Source organism: Homo sapiens, chromosome 3 (genome assembly GCF_000001405.40).
Source record: "Homo sapiens chromosome 3, GRCh38.p14 Primary Assembly".
NCBI lineage: Eukaryota > Metazoa > Chordata > Mammalia > Primates > Hominidae > Homo > Homo sapiens.
The window spans coordinates 22,288,435-22,310,304 of record NC_000003.12 but is presented as its reverse complement, the minus strand read 5'-3'; the positions used below and the strand labels follow the sequence as shown (position 1 = coordinate 22,310,304).

Sequence of the window (21,870 nt, the reverse complement as noted above, 5' to 3'; positions counted from 1 at the left end):
CATCAAGAAAGGTAATTTGTTTTATCTTACCTGTAGTAAAATGAAGTTCCAAGAAGTTAAATTCCTTGCTCTTGTTCGTAATAGTAATCATGACGCCTGAATGCAAATCCAGGAAATGGTCTCTGGAATCTCCTTTTAACCTTTATGCTATAATGTCACCAAATTGGTCAATGATCACAATCCAATATTGTAAAACACTTAATACAATATAAGATCCAGACTAGCAGATGTATTTATTGGAGGTCTTATTTCTGCTTGGATCAATCCTCATCCCAATGTAAATAACTCTAATCTCTCAAGTGAGGTACTGTTTGGTCCATTGAGCAGTTCATCAAGCCTCCATGGCTTTATTGGGAATTAGCGAGTTTTCTCCTATTTATTATACTTTGGCTCTTATAATGTCTCTTTATACTGGGCACACAAAATTCCATCCTACTGGCCATTGTTACCTTTTTATCTTGGATATCAAGGGAAGGTAATCTGAATGTGAAAATACTTAATTTTGAAAGGCTATACTATAGTAGATTGGCCATTTACAAGGAAGAGAGAGAGAATACTACTCTTTTCAAAAGAGTGGTGACCCTTGAGATTTACCAAAAACAGGACATAATTCAAAAGTGAGTTTGGTCAGCTTAATTGTCGACTGTCACCATTGACCTTTTTATGATTTTAAAATTTAAAAAGCTAGCTAAATATATTTTAGTTTTGTTCTAGACCTGGCCATGTTTTATCTTGGACCCTGTCTTTTACATTGAAACTTTTCTTATATATTTAAATAGTTGAATAGAATATGTTTTTGACCTTATATTAATACTCTCTATATAGTCGAGACAAAAATAGTTTGATGTCATTATTTTCACCCTTAGAAGTGAGAAACTGGGACAAGGTCATGCCTTCTTAAATCCAAGAAACATTTTATTTATACTTGCTTCTCTTCTTTCTTAGAATCATTTATTATAGGACGGATTTCCACATGAATAATTAAAGTTTTAACTGTACAGGGCAGAGATAAATAATTACAAGTAAAAACTCATTTAAAGCAAAAGCAGCTACAGAGAATTGAAGATGGTGCTGCCTTTCTTAGAAGGGGTCAAATATCTTCCTCCTTTTCACATTTTAGTTTACTTTTTCAAAATGGTGAATAGCCTGGAGATTAACACAGGGGCTGCTTTTCCTTTTCTGTTTTAAATTCGTTAGTGGAATATCTTGGCACCCTTCAAGTTACACAGTGTGGTTTTCTGGCTTATGATTTCCTTTCTGGCAGTATTTTCATACAAGTACAGAGAATGGAAAAATTAGCTTTATAGCCTCTTATTTTATTGCAGAAGCAAGGTAGGGATTCATCAATTTGCAGTTAGAAAAAAATTCCTAAATTATAAAGCAAATTTTTCAAATTTATTAACTTGCAATCTGCAGAAGGATTTTGGCTGTATTTGTTTGTTCTGTTGCTGAGAAAAAAATTGGAAACTTACATGAAAAACGGAGCAGATCCAAATTCATATTCTGAATGATAATGTTAGTGTAAGTCATTGTTTAAAATCTCCACTTTAATTCTGCAATATGGCCTCTTTTGGCCACTACTTTATTTTCTCAGAATACTCTGAGTCTGGCATGAGTTCCCCTTTTAGTAAATTCTGATATCAATAAACTCTAATCTCAGTAACTCTTTTTTCATGCCGCCTCTGTTGTGGCTCCTCACCAGTGTGTCTACCCTTTCTGAGCAGTGCCCATGTGTTACACCTTTAGGAAACTGACTGCCTTTTCCATCACTAAGTTTTCTTTTTCATTCCCTGGGAATCACTTAATGGAATTCAAGGGAATGTCCTTCTCTCTGTCTTTCTCTCTTTCACTTTCTCAAAAAAGAAAAAAAAGGCAGGTTTTATTGTTCTTATAATGTTTTTGTTATAAAAATTGGTTTTCTTTAAATAATAATTAAGCTGGAAAGGTAAATTGGGCTGTTAGTGATTTGAAATTTATATTAAGAAATTATGGATTTCATATGAAGAAAAGGAAATTATTTTTTAATAATATAAAATTCCGCTCAGATGAGTAATAACCTAAAATGAAGAATAAAATGCAACTTAGAGTAAACTATTTTCTAACATAATAATTGTTTCAGCATTTTTAGTAGATTGTCTTTGTGCTTTAAATAACGTACATTCTTTTGGAAGTTGCACTCACTCTTCAGTTCACCAGAGTCCTTTAATTACTATGTCAGTGCTTTAAACTATTCTACCTCCTGCTCTAATCTTTTGACCTGAAAGTAAATGGAGCTGTCTAGAGACCTAAATTATAGTATGGAATTTGATTATGTATGTATTAAAAATCTGATTCAACTAATTCAAAAATTAAGGGTAATTTTAACTTTGATTTTAAAGTGCCTCATTTATCTTTTATAAATTTCCCCTTAGAAACATATTCTGAATTTGATGATCTTACTAGTCTTCTCTGAAGATATGCAGTGTTTCTTCTTTGTTGCTTCATATGTCTTATGTGATTTGCCTTACATTTTCTGTATTTAAGATTACCCTAAGAAAGAAAGTTTTTTTTTTTTTTTTAAAACAGAGGCAATAAATTCTAGGTATGCTAGGAGTGTGACTATTTTAAACGAACAAACAAGTAAATAAATATCTTACCTCTTGCCACTAGGTCAACACACAGGCATATTCCTAATCTATGAGTAGCTGAGTAGTCCACCATAGTCCATTTGTGTTATGATTTTCCCAAAATACCATATGTGTTACATGGATGTGGTTGGAGAAATGGCATGTGTACGTGTGCACACACACAAGTACTTATTTATTCTCCAAATAACCATGTTTTTTCTTATGCCTTCAATTCTTATTTCCATGTGGATATAACTTTAAACCACTGCTATCATGAAGCTTTCTAAAATGCACATCTCTAGTCCAATGGCTCTCTTAAACTTCAATTCTGTGATTAAAACTCTTATTACTTACACTATTTAGAGTCTTCATTGTGGCATTCAAAGATTTCTCCATTATGACTCTAATCTATCATTGCAGACTTATCTTCATTCCTAGCTTTCTTGTTCTGCCTGTTCCAATTAAACTGACTCTCAAACACTTCCCACCTCCCCACCCCACCAGGGCTTTTCTGAGTCAATTTCATTGGTATTGCACTTATTGTCTGCTCCCCTTTTTAGGATTCAACTCCTTTTAGGGCGCAGAAACTTTGGGACTATTCCTGTAGTTTAACCCTAGTTTTCAGAGGAATAAAAAAGTTGTTTCTCTATGTGAATTTCAGAGTAAATCCCCTCTACAGAGCCATCAATGGGGTATTATGTTACCTTCTTGAAACTCTAATGCATGTGTAGGCAGAACTTCTGAGAACATTTAAACAGCCTTGTATTTATTTCTGGGACTGTGTTTTATGTTTTTCGCTCTTCAAAGCGCAGCTGTCTTGAGTACAGGGGTAGTTCTTCTGGGATATAATATCTAACATTTATCTCATTATCTTTATATCTAAACCTCTCCTTTGTACAAATCCAGTAAGCCTAGCCTGGAAAGCTGAGTTCATTCCTCCCTTACTCCATACCCAGCTAATTAGCAAATCTTATCTCTCCAACTCTCTGACAATTCTCATGCTAATTCACCTTACATTGCAGCCATATCAGAAGAAGAAACATAGCGAGTATTTCCCTCTCATTCAAATCCTCCCTCACCTGGCTACAGCGACTTCTTCCTGGTCAGCCTTAGCATGATTGCCCTCCTTCTCCCACTGCATAGACGGCAGTGTCTTGTTCTCTTGATTATGAAGGTTGTTATTTAATGGAGCCATAGTTCTTTCTCTATTATTGTAGAACTATTATTGGACAGCTAAAACAGAAGAGATGAAAATAGACCAGCTTCAGTAAATAAGAATATCAACTTAATAATATGACATTCTCCTGGAGGAAAACAAATGAAGTATGCTCCAGGGTCTGGGAAAGAAAAAAAAAAGACTTTTTTTAACCACAAGACAGAGAAAGGTTTACCCTATTTTATATCCATTAGACAAGAGTCTGAGAAGCTTCACTTGCCAGAAAAACCAGAAGATTAGGCTTCTCCCTGACACCGCTGTCAAATTCATCCTCATGAAAATTGCATTCTAAGGTAGTCAAGGGCAATTTATCCTCATCACCACCCCCATCACTATGCAAGCAGAATAACTCAAATTAAGAAGAAGAAAATACGAAAGAGAATTCTGACTTTTGTAGTTTTCTTGCCCTTCCACAAGGAAACAAGCTATAGACATTTTTCAAATTTTGGTAGGCAGCATTTGCCCTCCAAGGAGAAACAGCTAAAAGGAGTGATAGGAAAACCTTCCTTCAGTTCAACAGAATCGTACTAGAAAAATTAGTGCTAACCTAGGAAGGTAGTGCTACACAGAATATTTAGAAACTGTTTGACAATTTCCCTCTAGTTTAAGACCAAACAAAACAATTGTAACAACACACAGGTGAACAGTAACAACATTTAAGAGAATATAACTGCCCTGTTAATTAGTGTAGTAATCATTGGTTGTTCATGAGTATTTTTAGTTCTCTACTTTTACTGAGCACATGGTAGAAATATACTTCCTAGGCTCCTTGAAGTTAGTTGTGGCCGTGTGACTTGCTTAGGCCAATGAAGGATCAGCAGTGACATGCATCATCTCTATCATCTCTGGGCACAAGTTCTTAAGAGTTGGTGTGGTCATTCACCATACTCTTTTTCCTGTGCTATGGCAAATGATGATGCTCCAGGAGGTAGAGGCTGCATCAGCCTGAGACACGGGGAAGATGACATGAAGCAGAGCCCAACGCTGACTGTAATGTGAACATGAGTTAGGAGCAAGAAGTCAACTCCTACTGCTTTAAGCCACTGAGATTTTGAGGTTGTTTGTCACTGCATAGTAACCAGATTGATGTAGTTAGTAATCCCAAGAACTATTAAGTCTAGTATTCATGCAAGGATGAGTGAATTTAAATAAAGAATTTTTTAAAAAACCTAGAAGCTACGAAAAATAATCTGAAACAACAAAAAAGTAGCATACTACTCTAGTAGCAGATAAATGTTAAGGAGATAAATAGGAGAAAGAAATAGGATTACATATACATTTAGAAACCATCTGCTTTTGTTCTCAATAAAATCTAATAAGCGAGTAATTCGTGAATAAAGAGATTACAAAAAATAAAGTAATAAGAAAGATTAAAGGAAGGTACCTAAGACGAAAGCTGAGATTAAAAGAGAACTGGATGAGATAAGGAAAAATATTTGGAGATTAAAAATGCAAAAGTGAAATGGAAATTTTTATTGGATATAATAAAAAGCAAAATTGACACTGTAGAAAAATAGAAATAATACTGTACTAAGCACTTAATGCTTTAATCATAAAAAGAAATAAGGAAAATAAATGAATTAATGATTTCACTATAATGAAACAAAGTACCCTATTTGGCAACTGCTAAAGGAGACATTAATTGAAATAGGGGAAAGCAAGTAGTGGCACTGATAAAGAATTACAAAATGAAAAATAGTTCTTATATGCCTGATTGTGTGAAGAGAGAATTTAAGAAATATTCAACATAAGCAACAAAAATATTTTAGCCATTAAATTGATATGACATTTTTAAGAAAAGAAAATACCAGATGTAGTTGGAAACCTCATTATATGGTAATCATTGTCCAAGAAAAGATAAATTATCAAAATTGGTGCTGGAAAAAGTGGGAAGCATGATTATATCACTAACCATAGAAGATATTAAAAATATTTCAAATAATTATTTCCAACAAGGGCCCTGGCCTCAGATAGATTTGATGGTTATTTGTTTTAAAATGTGTAACACGTAAAGGGAAAAGTCTCTAATATACCTTACAATTTTCACACAGCATTGAAATTAATAGCAAAAAATAAAATTTGCATGTCAATATCTGCTAAAATACATAGATTCAAGAATCTTAAATATAAGCAATTTGAATTCAATAGAATATAAATCAGGAACAGCAAGATTTTGACTTCAACATATCTATTAAATCATAAAGTGTAATGTTCTCAATATTCAAAACACATTTCTGATTAAAATATCATACCTAATTAGAAAATGCATACAGGGATATTCTTTAGAGAAAACAAGAAGAAACTTGCTCTTTATTAAAAATTACACTTGAAGATCTATGCAATAGACCTAAGCCAGATTTTTATTAAGAATTATAGTTGAAGCTTTATGCAGTTAAAAGGAAACAGAGACCAGGCATGGTGACTCACGCCTGTAATCCCAACACTGGGAGGCCGAGGTGGGCGGCTTACCTGAGGTCAGGAGTTCGAGACCAGCCTGGCCAACATGGTGAAACCCTGTCTCTACTAAAAATACAAAAATTAGCCGGGCGTGGTGGCACATGCCTATAATCCCAACTGCTTGGGAGGCTGAAGCAGAAGAATCGCTTGAACCTCGGAGATGGAGTTTGCAGTGAGCCAAGATTGCGCCATTGCACTCTATCCTGGGCAACAAGAGCAAAACTCCATCTCAGAAAAGAAAAAAAAGAAAAGGAAACAGAAGTAAATGCCAAAAACACTCAGAATGAGGAAATAAAATTATTGAGAGCATATGATTTTTTACATTAAACATATACCGTAAACGTATATACAACATAAAAAGTCAAATCACCGGTTTGATTTTAATTATAGCAATATGGTTTAGTGGGTAAACTGATGGAACTCTCCTGGCACAGAAAAGCAAAGGAAAACAAAAAGCTGCAGTATAGAATATGTTTTAAACATCATTTAGAATACATAGACAAGCTGATAAAAAAGTAAAATCCTCATAAACTAAAAAGAAAGGAGGCAAGATAAGTGAACCAGTTGTAAAGCAAATACCTCTCCTTGGCACACAAGCAGGTTCCTGATGGCTAGGACTTTTCCTTTCAAAGGCCATATGTTTATGGGAACAGAGTAGTGGCAAGAGACAGGCCATATGTTTATGAGAAGAGTAGTGGCAGGAGACAAGACCCAGCCTATGTGCAAGATGGGAAATCTCATTGACAATGGGGTAAACCAGTTTACTGTGAAGTAAGACAGTACCATATAAGCCACTCTACTAAAACACACAATACATGTAGCTGCAAGAGAGGCTGGATATTTTGTCTTCATTCTAGGCAACATGTGCAGCCAACGATATTATTATCATTGAACAATGGAATGGAGATTGGATGGAAAATGGCAGTTTCTTGATAATCATCAAATAATTAGTATGCACCAATTATGTTATCCTAGCAGAATGCAATTAACAACATTAACAAAAAAGATGAACTATCATCTTTCAAATTTTGAAATTAGAAAATTAGTTAAAATTTTACACGTTTCTATGATTAAAACTCTTATGAAACTAAGAACAGATGAAAACTCCCTGTCATCATTACTAAAAGACATTTTATATTTCTTTAGCTAGAGAAATAAAACAAAAATGTAAATATTTGATTTAAAATAAAAATACAAATCTTACGTAACTAAGAATAAATTTAATGAAAGACATGTGAGGCCTTTCAAAGTAACATTAAAACTAATTGGAACAATATTAGAAAATGTATACAGATAAAGCCATGTGCAAGAATACAATATCTAAAATGGTAGTTATCTTAATTATCTCTATCTAAAAATTCCATAGAATACCATTAAAAGCCCAACAAAGCTATCCCATCTGAATTGAAAATTTTATTCTTAATTTTAATAGGAGAGCAAAAACAAAAGAATAGCCAAAAGAGTTTGCAAATCTAGAGTAAGTGTTATAATACTGTACTGTTTACACTAAGGACAGACCCAAGCATAAATATAAACTGTACATATCATAATGGGAAATTACAGATCAGTGAGTAGGAACAGGACATTCACAGAAGAGGAAAATAAATTGCATATACCAATACAATTATATAATGTATATATATATATAATTTTACTATTCATTGATAGAAAAGCATATTAAAATCACAATGAGAAACTAACTCATACACAGAAATTGGAAATAAAAAATTTAATACTGTGGAAATACTAAGTGTTGATGAAGATGTGGAGTCCCAGGACCCATCCTAGGTAGCTGGTGGTTAGCGAAAATTTATTTTAAAAGTTTAGAGATAAATTTGTCAAGAGAGGATACTAAGATTGAAAATCTGCATCCCTGCATTCTGGAAGTGTGAATCCAGCTGTACAGTTTATAAATATTCTCATGCTGTGTGCATAAGGAGACAAGCACAAGAAATTTCATAAGAGCATAGTTTGCAAAGTATAAACATGGAAACAATATAAATGTCAGTAAATAGGAAAATGAAAAAATGAAGTGTGCACTCTGGATTAAAAAGGATATACACACAGTGAAACAATATGAAGAAGAAATACATGCATCGGTATAGAAAATTTCAAACCACAATATACTACAAAGAATAACAAAAAGCAGAGAATACATGCAGTATGATACTGTCTACATAATTTTAAAAATCAACAGGACAATAGTTATATATATTGCTGCATAACATGTATTTCTATATAATGCCAAGTTCACATGCAGTAGCTTGAAATGATAAACCACAAATTCATAATGGCTTCCTGCAGACACAAGGGTAAGAAATGTGCTAGGGTAGAGGATTCAACTATCTTTGTAATATTTTACCACTTAAGCCTGTTGGTAAGTACCTAGACTTTTTTCTTTACCGTTTTTGTATGTCTGAACGTTTTTACCTCCTAACATAATTTGACTTTATGGGCATTTAAAAAATATATTTTAATTGACAAAATTATATATATTGTGTACAATATGATGTTTTGAAATATATATACATTAGGGAATGACTAAATCTGATCAAATATGCATTACTGTACATACTTATTCCTTTGTGGTGAGAAGACTTAAAATTCACTCACCTCGCAATTTTTAAGAATACAATACATTGTTATTAACTATAGTCACCATCTTGTGAAATGGACTTATTGTTCTTATGTAACTGAAATCTTGTATTATTTGACCAACATCTCCCAAACCTTTGGCTCCACCCCAAACTCCAATCCTTGTAACCACCATTTTCCTCTTTGTTTCTGTGAGTCCAACTTCTTAAGATTCCATATATAAGTGAGGTCATGCAGTAGTTGTCTTTCAGTGCCCAGCTTATTTCGCTTAACAAACGACCTCCAGGTTCATCTCTGTTGTCTCAAATGACAGGATTTCCTTCTTCTTAAGGGCTGCATAATATTACACTGTGTCTATGTAGAACACGTTTTCTTTATTACGTTGAATGACACCTAGGTTGTTTCTGTATCTTGGCTATTGTGAGTACATCTGCAAAGAACATGGGAATACAGATGTCTCTTTGACAAACTGATTTCAATTCCTTTGGATATATACCCAGTAGTAGTATTGGAGGAGCATATGGTAGTTCTATGTTTAATTTTTTGAGGAAACTCCATACTGTTTTTCATAATGGCTATACTAATTTATATTCCCATCAAAATTGCACATGGATTCCCTTTTTTCCATGTTATTACCAACTTTTATCTTTTGTCTTTTTGATAATAGCTATTCTAACATGTGTGAAGTGACAGTTCATTGTGGTTTTAATTTTCATTTCACAAGTGATTAGTGATATTGAACGTTTTTAATGTACCTGTTGGTCATTTGTATGCCTTCTTTAGAAAAATGTCTATTTCTATCCTTTACCCATTTATAAATTGGGTTATTTGTTTTCTTGCTATTGAATTGTTGAGTTTGTTATATATGTTGGGTGCTAACTTCTTTTCAGATGAATAGTTTGCAGATTATTCTGTGGTCATCTATAGGTTGTCTCTTCTCTGTTGATTGTTCTCTTTGCTGTACAGAAGATTTTACTTTGATATCATCTCATTTACCTGTTGTTGTCTGTGCTTTTGGGGTTATATCCAAAAAAAAAAAAAATCATTGCCCAGACCAATCAATGTCAGGAAATTGTACCCCTGTTTTCTTCTAGCAGTTTTATAGTCTCTGGCTTTACACTTAAGTCTTTAATCTATTTTGAGTTGATTTTTAATATATGGCCCAATTTCATTCTGCATGCAAAAATCCAGTTTTCTCAACAACATTTATTGATGAGACTGTTCTTTCCCCATTGTACATTCTTGGTACATTTTGTCAAAAATCAATTGGCCTTAAATGCATGAATTTCTGGGCTTTCTATTCTATTCCATTGGTCTATGTGTTGGTTTTTATGCCAGTACCATGCTGTTTTGATTACTATAGCTTTATAGTATATTTTAAAGTCAAGTCATGTGGTACCTCCAGCTTTGTTCTTTGTGCTCAAGATTGCTTTGGCTCTTTGGGGTCTTTTGTGGTTCCATATGAATTTTAGATATTTTATTTCTGTGAGAAATGTCATTGAAATTTTGATAAGTATTGCATTAAATTTGTAGATTGCTTTGGGTATATGAACATTTTAGCAACAATATTTTTTTCTAATCTACGGACACAGGTTATCTTTCCATTTATTTGTGTTCTTTAATGTCTTTTATCAATATTTTACAGTTTTCAGTGTACAGGTCTTTTACTGCTTTGGTTAAATTTATTCCTAAGAATTTTACTATTTTTTATAACTATTTTAAATGGGATCGTTTTCTTTTTCAGAGAGTTTGTTATTAGTGTATAGATAAGCTACTGATTTTGTATGTTGATTTTCTATCCTGAAACTTTACAGAATTCATTTATTAGTTCTAACAGTTTTCTAGTGAAGTCTTCAGGGTTTTCTATTTGTAAGATCATGTTGTTCACAAACAGGAACTTCTTACTATCCAATTTGGATGTTCATTGGTATTTTTATAGAATGTTTTACTTTTGTTTTCTTTTTTTCAAATTATGATTTGTTTTATAGTTACTTATATATATTCCTCCATTCCCCCCGTGTAGTATAATCTTTCTTTTGGTAGGAAAAATATTCAGCATGCAAGTTCCTCAGGGCCTAGAGTAAAGTTACAAAAATAACCTAAAGTGTTTTATTTAAGAGTGCATTTCTTTAATTTTACTTGTTCTTTTTTGTTCAATTGGTATACCTATATTACAATAGCTATAATCATTATATAAATTATAATCTTAAAAGAACTGATAGTCATTTCCATAGCAAACCAGTATAGCAATATTTGTCATCTTATTGGTTACTAAAGTCACCAGCAGCCTCTTTAGTTTTTACAGATACAGTGAAACCTGAAAGCAACTTGGGAAGAAATGGCAGTTTATTATTGGCATTCTCCTGACACAAGCTCACAAAATTTGAATTGTGTTAAAAACTACTCTGTGATATATTGTAATCATAAAAGGACCTCAATCCAGCCTGTATCCTCTCTGCCAAATCATTTCTTAGAATTAATTGGAATCAAATAATGTTGCAATTCTTTTTTAAGAACTGTGTAATATAATACAGTCATCATTATATGAATTTGGTGAGAAAATAAAAGAGCACAAGTCCATGGCTAAGTATATTCAAGAAACTTTGCATTAAATAAAGATAAACAATTTATTTATTGATTCTAAGAGTGTTTTTTATCATTTTAATGGTAAGAAAATGAAATCTCCAAAATGGAAATTAGATCATTTTATTTTTTTTTTTTGGTTTTTGTTGTTTTCTATTTATCTTTAATTTTAGGCATACCCATTTATATTCAAAATATTTTCCACAGAATTTAGCTTGAGAACCACAGATGTAACATGTTGAGAGGGAGCTGTGGATAGTCACATACATATATGTGTGTGTGTGTGTATGTGTGTATATACATAAATGTTTTATGTATATATATTATATATAAATGTTTTATGTATATTTATATATTATATATAAATGTTTTATGTATATTTATATATTATATATAAATATTTTATGTATATTTATATATTATATATAAATGTTTTTATTTTACATATATATACACACACACACACACACACATACATACTGCTTTCTCCTCTTCTCCTCCTTTGCTGTTAAAGTCTCAGTCAACCTCCCATCCTCACTTTGTTTTAAATGGAACATTGTACAGTAACCTTTAAGTCACCTTATGACTTATGACTAATCATATGACCTTTCCTGAATCTTTATTCTCTTTGACTACTGTGTGTCTTTTGAAATTCTTAGCAACCTTTTAAAAATTTATCTTTAATAGCTTACATTTTCTTTGATTTTAACTTCATTTGACTTTTTTCTTAAAGCACGAAGATTATATGCCTGTTTAAATAAATCAAGCAATAGAGACACAGGAGAAGTTCTGAAACATACTCTTCCCTCTACCCTTCATCATTATATTCCCCCAAATTGATCAGTTTCATGAGTCAATAACTACCACTACTTAATTTTCTCTGTGCCCAAACAAAACTATAGAAACATATTTATAGATGCAGAGATTATTTTTAAAATTTGTTTCAATATCTGTAAATATTGGATGAAAATACGCGTTGTACGTTTAAACATACTTTTAAAATGTAACCCAATATCATTTGCTCCTAGGTCAATAGAGATAGTCATGTCCATTCATTTTAAAGGTTTTTATGTTATTTTTATGTATATATTATATACTCTTCTATATTACATAAGAAAATTCCCAGTTATGAATCCTCGCCACGTGTATTTGCTTTGTTTATTATGCTGTTTCAAAGAGGAAAGTAGGAAGAAAAGAACAGCCTGAGGTCAGATTACTCATTGCTCCACTCCTCTAGACAACTATTTCATTCCCCCATATTGCCTAGATGAGTGGGGCTTCTGCTCTGGACTTTACCCACTGCAGAGTCCTCCTCCGGCCCCACTTCAGCCATGCCCCCTTCTCTCTATAAGGTAAAAAGTTTGCCGCTCAAGGGGCTTGTCCCTTTATAGACTATATCTATAGCCTAGACTTTGCTCCAGGTATGAGGAATCCTGGAATTCCTCCAGGTTCTGTGTGAGTCCTTTCCCTAGGCTGTCCTCCCAAAGGCAGAGGTCTGGCCAAAAGATAGCTTTTTTCAGATGAAGGGAAAGGCGGAGGAGATGGATTGATTTGGGATATGTCATTTGGGGTGTTCAGACATATGTATGATAGGTCCTATTGGGGGGATCTGGGGTTGCGAATAAAGGGGTTGATTGTCACAGTCTGGGAGCTTGAGACTAGGAACAAGTCAGTCTTTCTGTACCACCATATTCTAGTGCGACCTTTAGGTCCTTAGGAGATTATATTTTTCAAGATAGGAGAATACAATATGTTTTAATAGTTTACTAATTCAATATATAACAGAAATACAATCTATCACATAAATAATTGCAGGGGGAGTATGAGGGCCTCCACTTATACTTGTACCTCAGGCCCTGAAAATGTTAGGGCAAAACTGTTACTATTTCCAAGGGTAGATGAATTATGCATCCTGATATTTGCATTATTGTATAATCTCTTCTCCTTAAGTCTGGCCTGGCCCATTAGCCATGGCACCATGCCAGTTGCTGGCCTAAGGCTTAAGAACATCTGGCAGCCTGCACTTTTGCTCTCCAGAGAAGCCAACCACCATGCTCAAGACAGACACTATGCTGTGGGGAAACTCAACCTAACCTTAGGGAGAGGCCACATGGAGGTTTCTATGTCAGCTGCAGAGGTATGCTCTCTTCAAGAAGGAATTCAGCATTCAGCAAGGAGTGCAGTCAAGTGAAAACCACTAGCTGAAGGTCCTTCAGTATCTAACTCAGTGTTCAAACTGAGGCAGGCCATCAAAAGTTCTCTTTGTACAATTCAGTTTCCTACCTCCTTTCCTTTCATAGGTGCCAAATCTTCGTCATGGTCTGAAGGCGTTCCCTGTCCAATTCTGCTTCCCTTCTCTTTTATCTTTCATAGGCATTAGACATACCCTTCCTTGAAGAACTGCTTGCAGTCCCATTTTAGCATTTTCTTCCTGGAGAACCCAGCTGAAACAGTAACTGAGGAACTAGCCAACAACAAGAACCTATGATTCAAACAAGTGACACTAGTTCATTTATGCCAGCCTCCAGCTGTTCAAACCATCCCCGCTAATGCCACACAGAGCAATGGCAAGCTGTCTCTGCCAAGCCCTGCCTGAACTGTAGAATCCCAAGAAGTAACAAACACAATTGTTTAAGGCCCATAAGTTTTGAGGGTAGTATTGTAGCAATAGATAACTTGAAACAGAAAGTGTTATCTGGAGTGAGTGACATCATAATGAAATAATCTAAAACCTATGGCATTGGATTGATTCATAACCTTACATTTTGGATATTTAGATAGATGGTATGCGGCCTCCACTTGTACTTTTTCCCTGGGCCATGCAAAGGTTATAGGTGATCCAGTCATTTGTTCTCATGAAACTTTCCTATTTATTTTCTTCTCCTTTGCCATAAACTATTCTTGTCGACTTTCTCCTGTTTCTTTTTTCAGAAATCTCAGTTTCTTTCAAATATTAGCCTTTGTACTTCTTGATCAACAATGCCATTGGGAGGGGCCGTGAGGCAGGGGTGGTAGCTTTCTCTGATCACATCTTTCAAAGGTTATAGTTTATCAGTTGTTACTGAGAAGGTGAAGGAAAATATTAGATTAAAAAATATTAAATTTGTGCCTAAAACATCCGAAGTCAGACTATGAGGTGTGCATATAAAGTAATCAAAAGGGGGCGGATTTTCTTTTATGTTTATATTTTTCTACCAACCAAAGGTTCAGATCCACCTCATTTACCTAGTTCAGCCCTAGACTAGTTCCCACTCATTATTAAAAACTTTTTTCATTAAGTTTATATGCTGTCATATATGAATGTCCCATTGTGACTTTCTGATTATTTGAGCCATACACCTACATGTACGCCCAGTTTTGCTTTGCAAACTTTTTTTATTCTATTTTACTGCATTAAAAAATTTGTTATAATTCTCTTATAGGAGGCTGGAGTCAGATCACAGCCTTTGGAGGCATGTGAGGTGGCACTGTCATCAGTTTCTCTCCCTCATGTGTGAGAGCTGTATAGCCTATTCTACATCTCATGTGTTTGCATAAAAATTGAAACTTTTTCTAGAATGTTATCTTTTGTGCAAAAATTATGTCCTAATGTATTGGGAATGTTTTAGTAGTATTTTACTATAATTTTCACAGCCTCTGAAAGACTGTTAAATCTTTACACTTTATTATTCAAATGTAGAGAAAGAATTTATTGTTATCTATGGTATATAATTCCAAACAAGTTATTAACAGCATGATGACTTTTTCATTCAGAGGAAAACTGGAATTTTCCCACCAATAATAATAGACATTAATGGGCCATAAACAAACATTTTAAAGCCAATTATAATCCTAGAGTGAAACATGTGTGTGAGTGTGTGTATAAATAGATATACAGAGATAGATAGTTATACCCCTGGTCCTGTAATGGAAAATAGATATCTAATTTTCCCACTCCTTTGAATTAATATGTTGATTTTTCCTTTTAAACACAAAGGATATCTAATAGTGGTAACAGATTAAGGCTTTACAATTTAGTAACTTTGTTATAAAATGCAAAATATATTGAATTTCCACTAAGCATTGACATTGCTTATTAATTTTGAATTCTTACAACATGCTAGTATTTTGCATTAACTTGTTTTCTTTCTTTGCAATTCAGAACATAGAAGCTTAGAGACATTTAGTAGCACACTCATCAACACTCAGTTAGTAATCATCAGCACCAGGATTCAAATCTGGTCTCTTTCACTCTGAATTTCATGTTTCCTTTTATTTGATTTATTTTAGCCTTGAAATTTTAAATGAAATCAATATATCCATTTAGCCAGTCATTATCATCTTAAGGAAATAAAAAACATTCCCTAATACATACTGATATATAATACCCATTATATATTATATACGATAAATATGCGGGGGTGGACCCACATCTATTATAACATATTAATGAAATAAGAAGTATATTCATAGGAACAGTTTTCTTATTAGAGGAGATATTGAAAAATATGAGGAAAAATAGCACTAAATAATGGAGGCTCATTAAGGAGGGAAGTTGTACAAAGAGGCACCAATAGGAGAGGCAAATTGTGGGGAAGCTAAAACTGCATCCACCTCCTATTAACTAGAGCCATTTTATAGGGTTTACTGCCACAGTTTTGTTTCCTATACCTACCCAGTATAGTGGCACTTTTCTGTAGTAGCACTATGTTGTAACAAAGGTACATAATGCAATATTAAGGTTATATTTATAATGGTCTTAGAGTATCATTATGTATTCAACATTCCTCCTCCTCCAAATACTCTATAGGATACAATCAATTAGAAAAAAAAAAGCATCAGTAAATGCTGCAATCTAGGCCAAGATAGAATTACCATGCCTGGAGAAGAAAATTCATTGATCCCAAACTTAACATAGGTAAAATGAACAAGTATGTAGGAAGTAGAAGAAACCCCAGATGAACCCTAAGACCAGTGCTTGTAAACTTTAGCATTCATGAAAATTACCTGGAGGGATTGCAGGAACAGATCACTAGGCCTCACCTCCAGGGATACTGATTCAGTAGTTTTCAAGTAGAACCTATTTTCATTTTATTGAAAGCTACCAGGTGATGCTGATGCTGAAGTTGATTCTGCTGGTCTTGGGGCCAGTCTTTGAGAACCACATTCAACACGGGGAAGTAAGAGCTGGGAGTCATGCCAAGCTGTGGAACAACTGAGGAAAATATTCAGGTAGCATTCTTTTGCCAAAAAATATAATGTGTGATGTCAAATATGTTATCTATCCACTGTGGAACTTATTCCTAGCTTATACTGGGCCTAGATGTCACACTAGGTAACACTGCTATAATTAGCTTGTAAGGAGAGTATTGCTAGAGGGCATCATTGAACAAAGAGGACTCTTTTATTGGCTTAGGGAAGAGTACCAGGTTTAGTAGCTAGAAAGAGAATGCCTGAAGTTTCTAAATTAAAAAGAAGATGTATAATTTATTAAAGTCTTATGGAGAGAAGGAGAGATACTAAATTAGGAATTCATGGGATCACTAATTGAGATGAGTAAAGGACATCGAGTTTAATAAAAGGTAGCAAAGGTTTCCAATATATTTCTGACTCCTGGTTGCCCTAATAATGGGGCTTGCTCTCCAAAGTAATGAAATTATTATGACACATGCAAATGAATAATATAATAACTAGGATTAGGTTTGGGGGATTTCTATGAAGGCTTTTTTGAGGGATTTATGATGTATAAGTGAAAAGATAGCATTTGAGTTATATATAAGACAGTAATGTTCAGCATACACATGAGACAGCCTCTGGATACTACTAACTTACAGCTTCTTGAGGTAACTGTTGAAATCAATGGAGATAATAAATCATGTAGTTGCATATATATACATTGTTAAACTTACTGGCATCATGTCTAAAGGGAAAAACAGGAATCTGGGATGGGACAATAGAAATATGCATTCTCTTGGAGATCTGGAACTGGGACAATTACAGCAGCTGCTGCTTAAAATTCTCTCTCTCTTTTTCTGTCACTATAGAATTTTGCCCCCAGAAAGTAATATAAGTAGATAAGAAGTCAATGGCAAATAAACCAGAAAAAGAATAGAGCTCTAGCACATTTTAAAAATATTTCTAACTATCAAATACAGAAAACAAATACTTGTTACAGAAATAAAACTCCATGCCACTATCACATTTGTATCTGATTCCTTCCCTTATCTATTGAAGTCTGTAGATCTTTAAATTAGCCGTGTGAAAGAACCAACATGAAATTCCAATTATTTCATTTTGAAACTTATCTGGGCATGTTGCTTTAAATAGAGGTCTACAAAATCTCTCACATAGTTCTAGAAATAGTGCCAGTACTGGGCGATCAAGTACTATCCCCTGTAAAAAGAACTTACCAAAACACAGAAAACAAAAACTAATTAAAGCCTACAATGGCTTTATTTATAAATATACTTAAAAGCTTAGAGTTTTGTATAACACTTAATTGCAGATTACATTGGTGAAATATCTAAAGAAACGAGATAAAAATATAATGAGTAAATATACAGCATGTTTTCGCATATATTGAAGCAACAACAAAAACATTTTACATGTATGTTAGGGCTCAGAAGATAGACCTTCTATATTTCTTTTTTAAAAAATAAAGGAAGTCTTCAAAAGTTTATGATAACCCACGAAGTAATGAAGTTTGAAAATAATAAAGGTGGTAGAAAGTACATTAGATAATAAAGAATTATTCAATTAAAAGCCAACATTAAGATTCATCCAGCTCTCAAATTAAAAAGCAGAAATGAAAAGTCAAAGAAGAAGGGCTCCAATATCCAATATGTTCAGGAGATAACAGAGCCTGTAGTATGTGATTATCTTTTGTGAAGATTAACCAGTTCTAGATTATATGAATAAAACATGATTATGATACCAAAATAAGAGAAAGATAATAGAAGAAAAGAAAATTTCTCACCAGTTTCACATATGAAAACTGAAGTACACATGTTTGTAAATAAAAAAGCATTAAATTTTTGCATTTTAAGGAGTAGTAATGCATAAATAAGTAGGATTAACCCTAAGAATGTAAAACTTGTTTAATATTAGTAAATCTGCAATAAAACCTCACATTATGGTATCTCTAGTAAAGTGAAGAAAAGAACAAATATACACAAGATCATAAACCCCACAATATTTAAAACAAGTCTAGAAGTTCTTGGTAATACAGTAAAACAATAAAATTATTACACTTCTTTAACTGTTGTAAAGAATAGTATAAAACTATCATTGTTTGCAAATAATACACTAAATCAACTAAAATATATTAGAAATAAAGTTCAGTAAGATGCTTAATTATAAAAGATATATAGGAAAGCTATTATATTTGTATATGGTAGGATATAAAATTAAACAGAAAATTTTTCCATTTAAGAATTTACTATTAATTAATGTACCTTGAAATAATTTTATAAATAAATATGTAGGACTCAAATGATTTTTTAAAGCACAAGAACTCATAGGGGCAGAAAATGGGTCTTGATGGTTAAATGTTGAACAACACTATAATCTTTCCTTCCAATAAATATATATGTTTAACATAATCACAAGGAAAGTTTCCATTATTTTTTGGAGGGGCAGTTCTGCAAAGCTAATTTAAAGTTCATTTGGAAGGAGAAATCAGAAAGTAACAACCAACAGTAATGGTAAATAGAGGAAGAGGGAGTATTATGGACTGAATTTTTGTGCCCTCCTCCCCATTTCATATGATGAAGCCTTAATCCCCAGGGGGATGGTATTTTAGATGGAGCCTTTGGGAAGTAATGGAGGTTTGCTCAAGTCTTGAAGGTAAGTCCTTCATTGATGGGAGTAGTGCCCATATAAGAAGAAGTATCAGAGCAGTCTCTTGTTCCTCATGCCCGCACAACAAGGAAAAGCACACAAAAATATACATATTGATTAGTGGAAATAATTTAGGAAATCTTGGCAAATGGATACTACAGAGCCATTAAAAGCCCCCGCATGTAGGATGACATCAGCAACATGGAATACGAGGCTACTGACTCTCCCTGTTCCATCAACACACCAAATAAACATCTACACACAGATCAATTACTTCTGAGATAAACAAGTTGAGAAAATCCTACACGTTGGATTTTTGTTTGCTGTTATCTCTGATGGACTGGAAAGTGTTCTTTGTTGAAGACATTGAGCCAGACCAAGAAACATCTAGGCCCCTCAGAAACATGGCAGACAGAACAAGAAGGAGGGGCGGGCAGAGGCCAGAGCCTAGGCAGGATACTGCACAATGCCACTGCCCTGGGCATCCGGGAATGAGTGCCAAACAGTTTACCTTGCCAGAAAGGCCACTGTTTGAGTGACAGAGATCCTTGCTATGTCCCCTTCCCAGCTTCTTCTCCAACCCTGTGTTGTGGTGTGGCTACATTTCTCAATGAGAGGAAAAGGTGAGAGGAGTGAGAACTATCTTCTCTGACATCAGTCTGCACCCCTCCTGAAGGTGGACAATTAGCTCCTTGGGAGGCTTTTGTCTTTGGGTGTGGTGTGGTCTGAGGAGAGCATTCATATTGAATAGGTTAGTAAAGCTGAGGCACATTCAGGCACAAATCTTAGCACCATTCCAGTAAGGAAGGAATTCCCAACACCCAGCTTCCCCGTGAAGAGACAAAGGTTCAGGCCACACATGTAGCACTCTAAGTTTCCTCACAATTTGGCTCTTAATCCACCTGCCTTGGAAGCATAATGGACTAAGCATACACAAATCTCCCTAGAACACAAAACAATGTAGCAGTTCTATATAGGCATGATCACACTTCCAGGGACTTCTCTCAAGATTGAGGCAGAAAAGGGGCTAAAACTCAAAGCTTCCAGTTTTTCCATAGAGGGTTTTTTTCCACAAACTCTTTCAACTGCTGCTGCTTATAGTCAAGCTTCTAACAAGGCTGCATTAGAGAGTTAACTGAGCTGACATACTATAGACCTCCAGGATTCTGAACAGTAGCTGTGTGTATTCTAAACCTTTCCCCTAGCTTATCCCAGGGGTAAATCCAGGTCTATCGATTACTCCTGGAAGGCATTGGTGCATGCATCAGTGCCCCAACTTTTATAGCTCCTACACCATATCCTAAACCTTCTAGCCCAGGAAATGAGACGTACTAGGCATGTGTGATTCTCCCTTGATTACAGAATAAAGAGATGGTTTTAAATAAGCACACCGGCATTCCCAAGGCCTAAACCTCCTATAATCAGTGCATAGATGGGGCTGAAATGCACATTTCCCAGTTTTTTCCTGCAAGAGGCTTGCATGCCCAGTTTTTCAGCTGTTGGTTGAGGATTGAGCTCCTATCTAGCCTGAATTTGGGAATCAGTGGTGTAGAGAAACAATAAACCTTTGGAAGACTGAATGAGATTTTGGTTACTTCTTGAACCTTTTTTCCTGGCTTATGCCAGTGATAAAGCCAAGTCTGTAGATTCTCTCTGGAAGGAATTTTTCTATGTACCAAGCACACAAATAGATTGTGTATGGAACAGCTTGCACGTAATGAATTGACTCCCTACCCACCTAGATTCAGGAGTTGATGAGGCTCTGCATGCTTGAGTCTCCCTATATCACAGAAAACAAAGAGGTGGACACATTCAGAGGACCCATTTACAGAAAATATTCTGCCAGAATCAAAGGGTATAGTAGGAAGGAGAATGCAGGCATTTTCCACAGATCTTCTTCCAGGCTTAGTGTAGAGAAGGTGAGAGATTGTCTTCTGCTGTCAGCTTTATCCTGAGGATAGAAGAAACTAGAACAAACATCTAACACCCCAACCTTTCCAGCTGCATCTAGAGACACTGGCTTCTAGCTTACCCATTCTGAGGTACTGACAAGACTTGGCATACTCTTGTCTCCAGATGGCCGCTAAAAACAGAGTCAGCAGTTTGGACAAACACAGAGATTTGAGAGGCACTTTAGGATCTCTGACTGGATGGATTGGTGAGGTTCTTCTTTTACAAGAGGCCAGTCTAAAAGGACTGAGGGATGCTACTGTCTCATCTAATAAACAGAAACCAACACTGAGAGTCAATAAAAATAAAAAGGGAAATATGTTCCAAATGAAAGAACAAGATAAATCTTTAGATGCTAAAAATAAGGATATGGAGATATGTGATTTACCCAACAAAGAATTCAAAAGAACTGTCATAAAAATACTCACTGAGGTTAGGGGAGCAAAATATCAACAAACTGAGAATTTCAACAAAGAGACAAACTATAAAAAGTACCAAACAGAAATCATAGTACTGAAGAATATAATAACTGAAGTTAAAAAATGAATAGAAAAATCTAATGCAGGATGGATTAAGCAAAAAAGGCATCAGTGAACTCAAAGACAGGTCACTGGAAATCATCCACTTAAACAAAAAAGAAATAAA

The 21,870-nt window shown here is 34.4% G+C and overlaps 1 protein-coding gene across 6 annotated transcripts in view, besides 1 other annotated feature; it reads left to right on the top strand.

Annotated features, from left to right (window-relative positions):
* ZNF385D (zinc finger protein 385D) overlaps positions 1 to 21,870 on the top strand; it is a 960,546-nt gene that overhangs the window by 62,459 nt on the left and 876,217 nt on the right. The window lies entirely within an intron of this gene.
* Positions 3,319 to 3,911: an enhancer, noted in NCBI's record as "OCT4-NANOG hESC enhancer chr3:22347885-22348477 (GRCh37/hg19 assembly coordinates)". NCBI's record gives its function as "activates a minimal SCP1, AML or CMV promoter by ChIP-STARR-seq in primed H9 embryonic stem cells {active_cell/tissue: H9 hESC(primed)}" and the evidence as "EXISTENCE:reporter gene assay evidence [ECO:0000049][PMID:30033119]".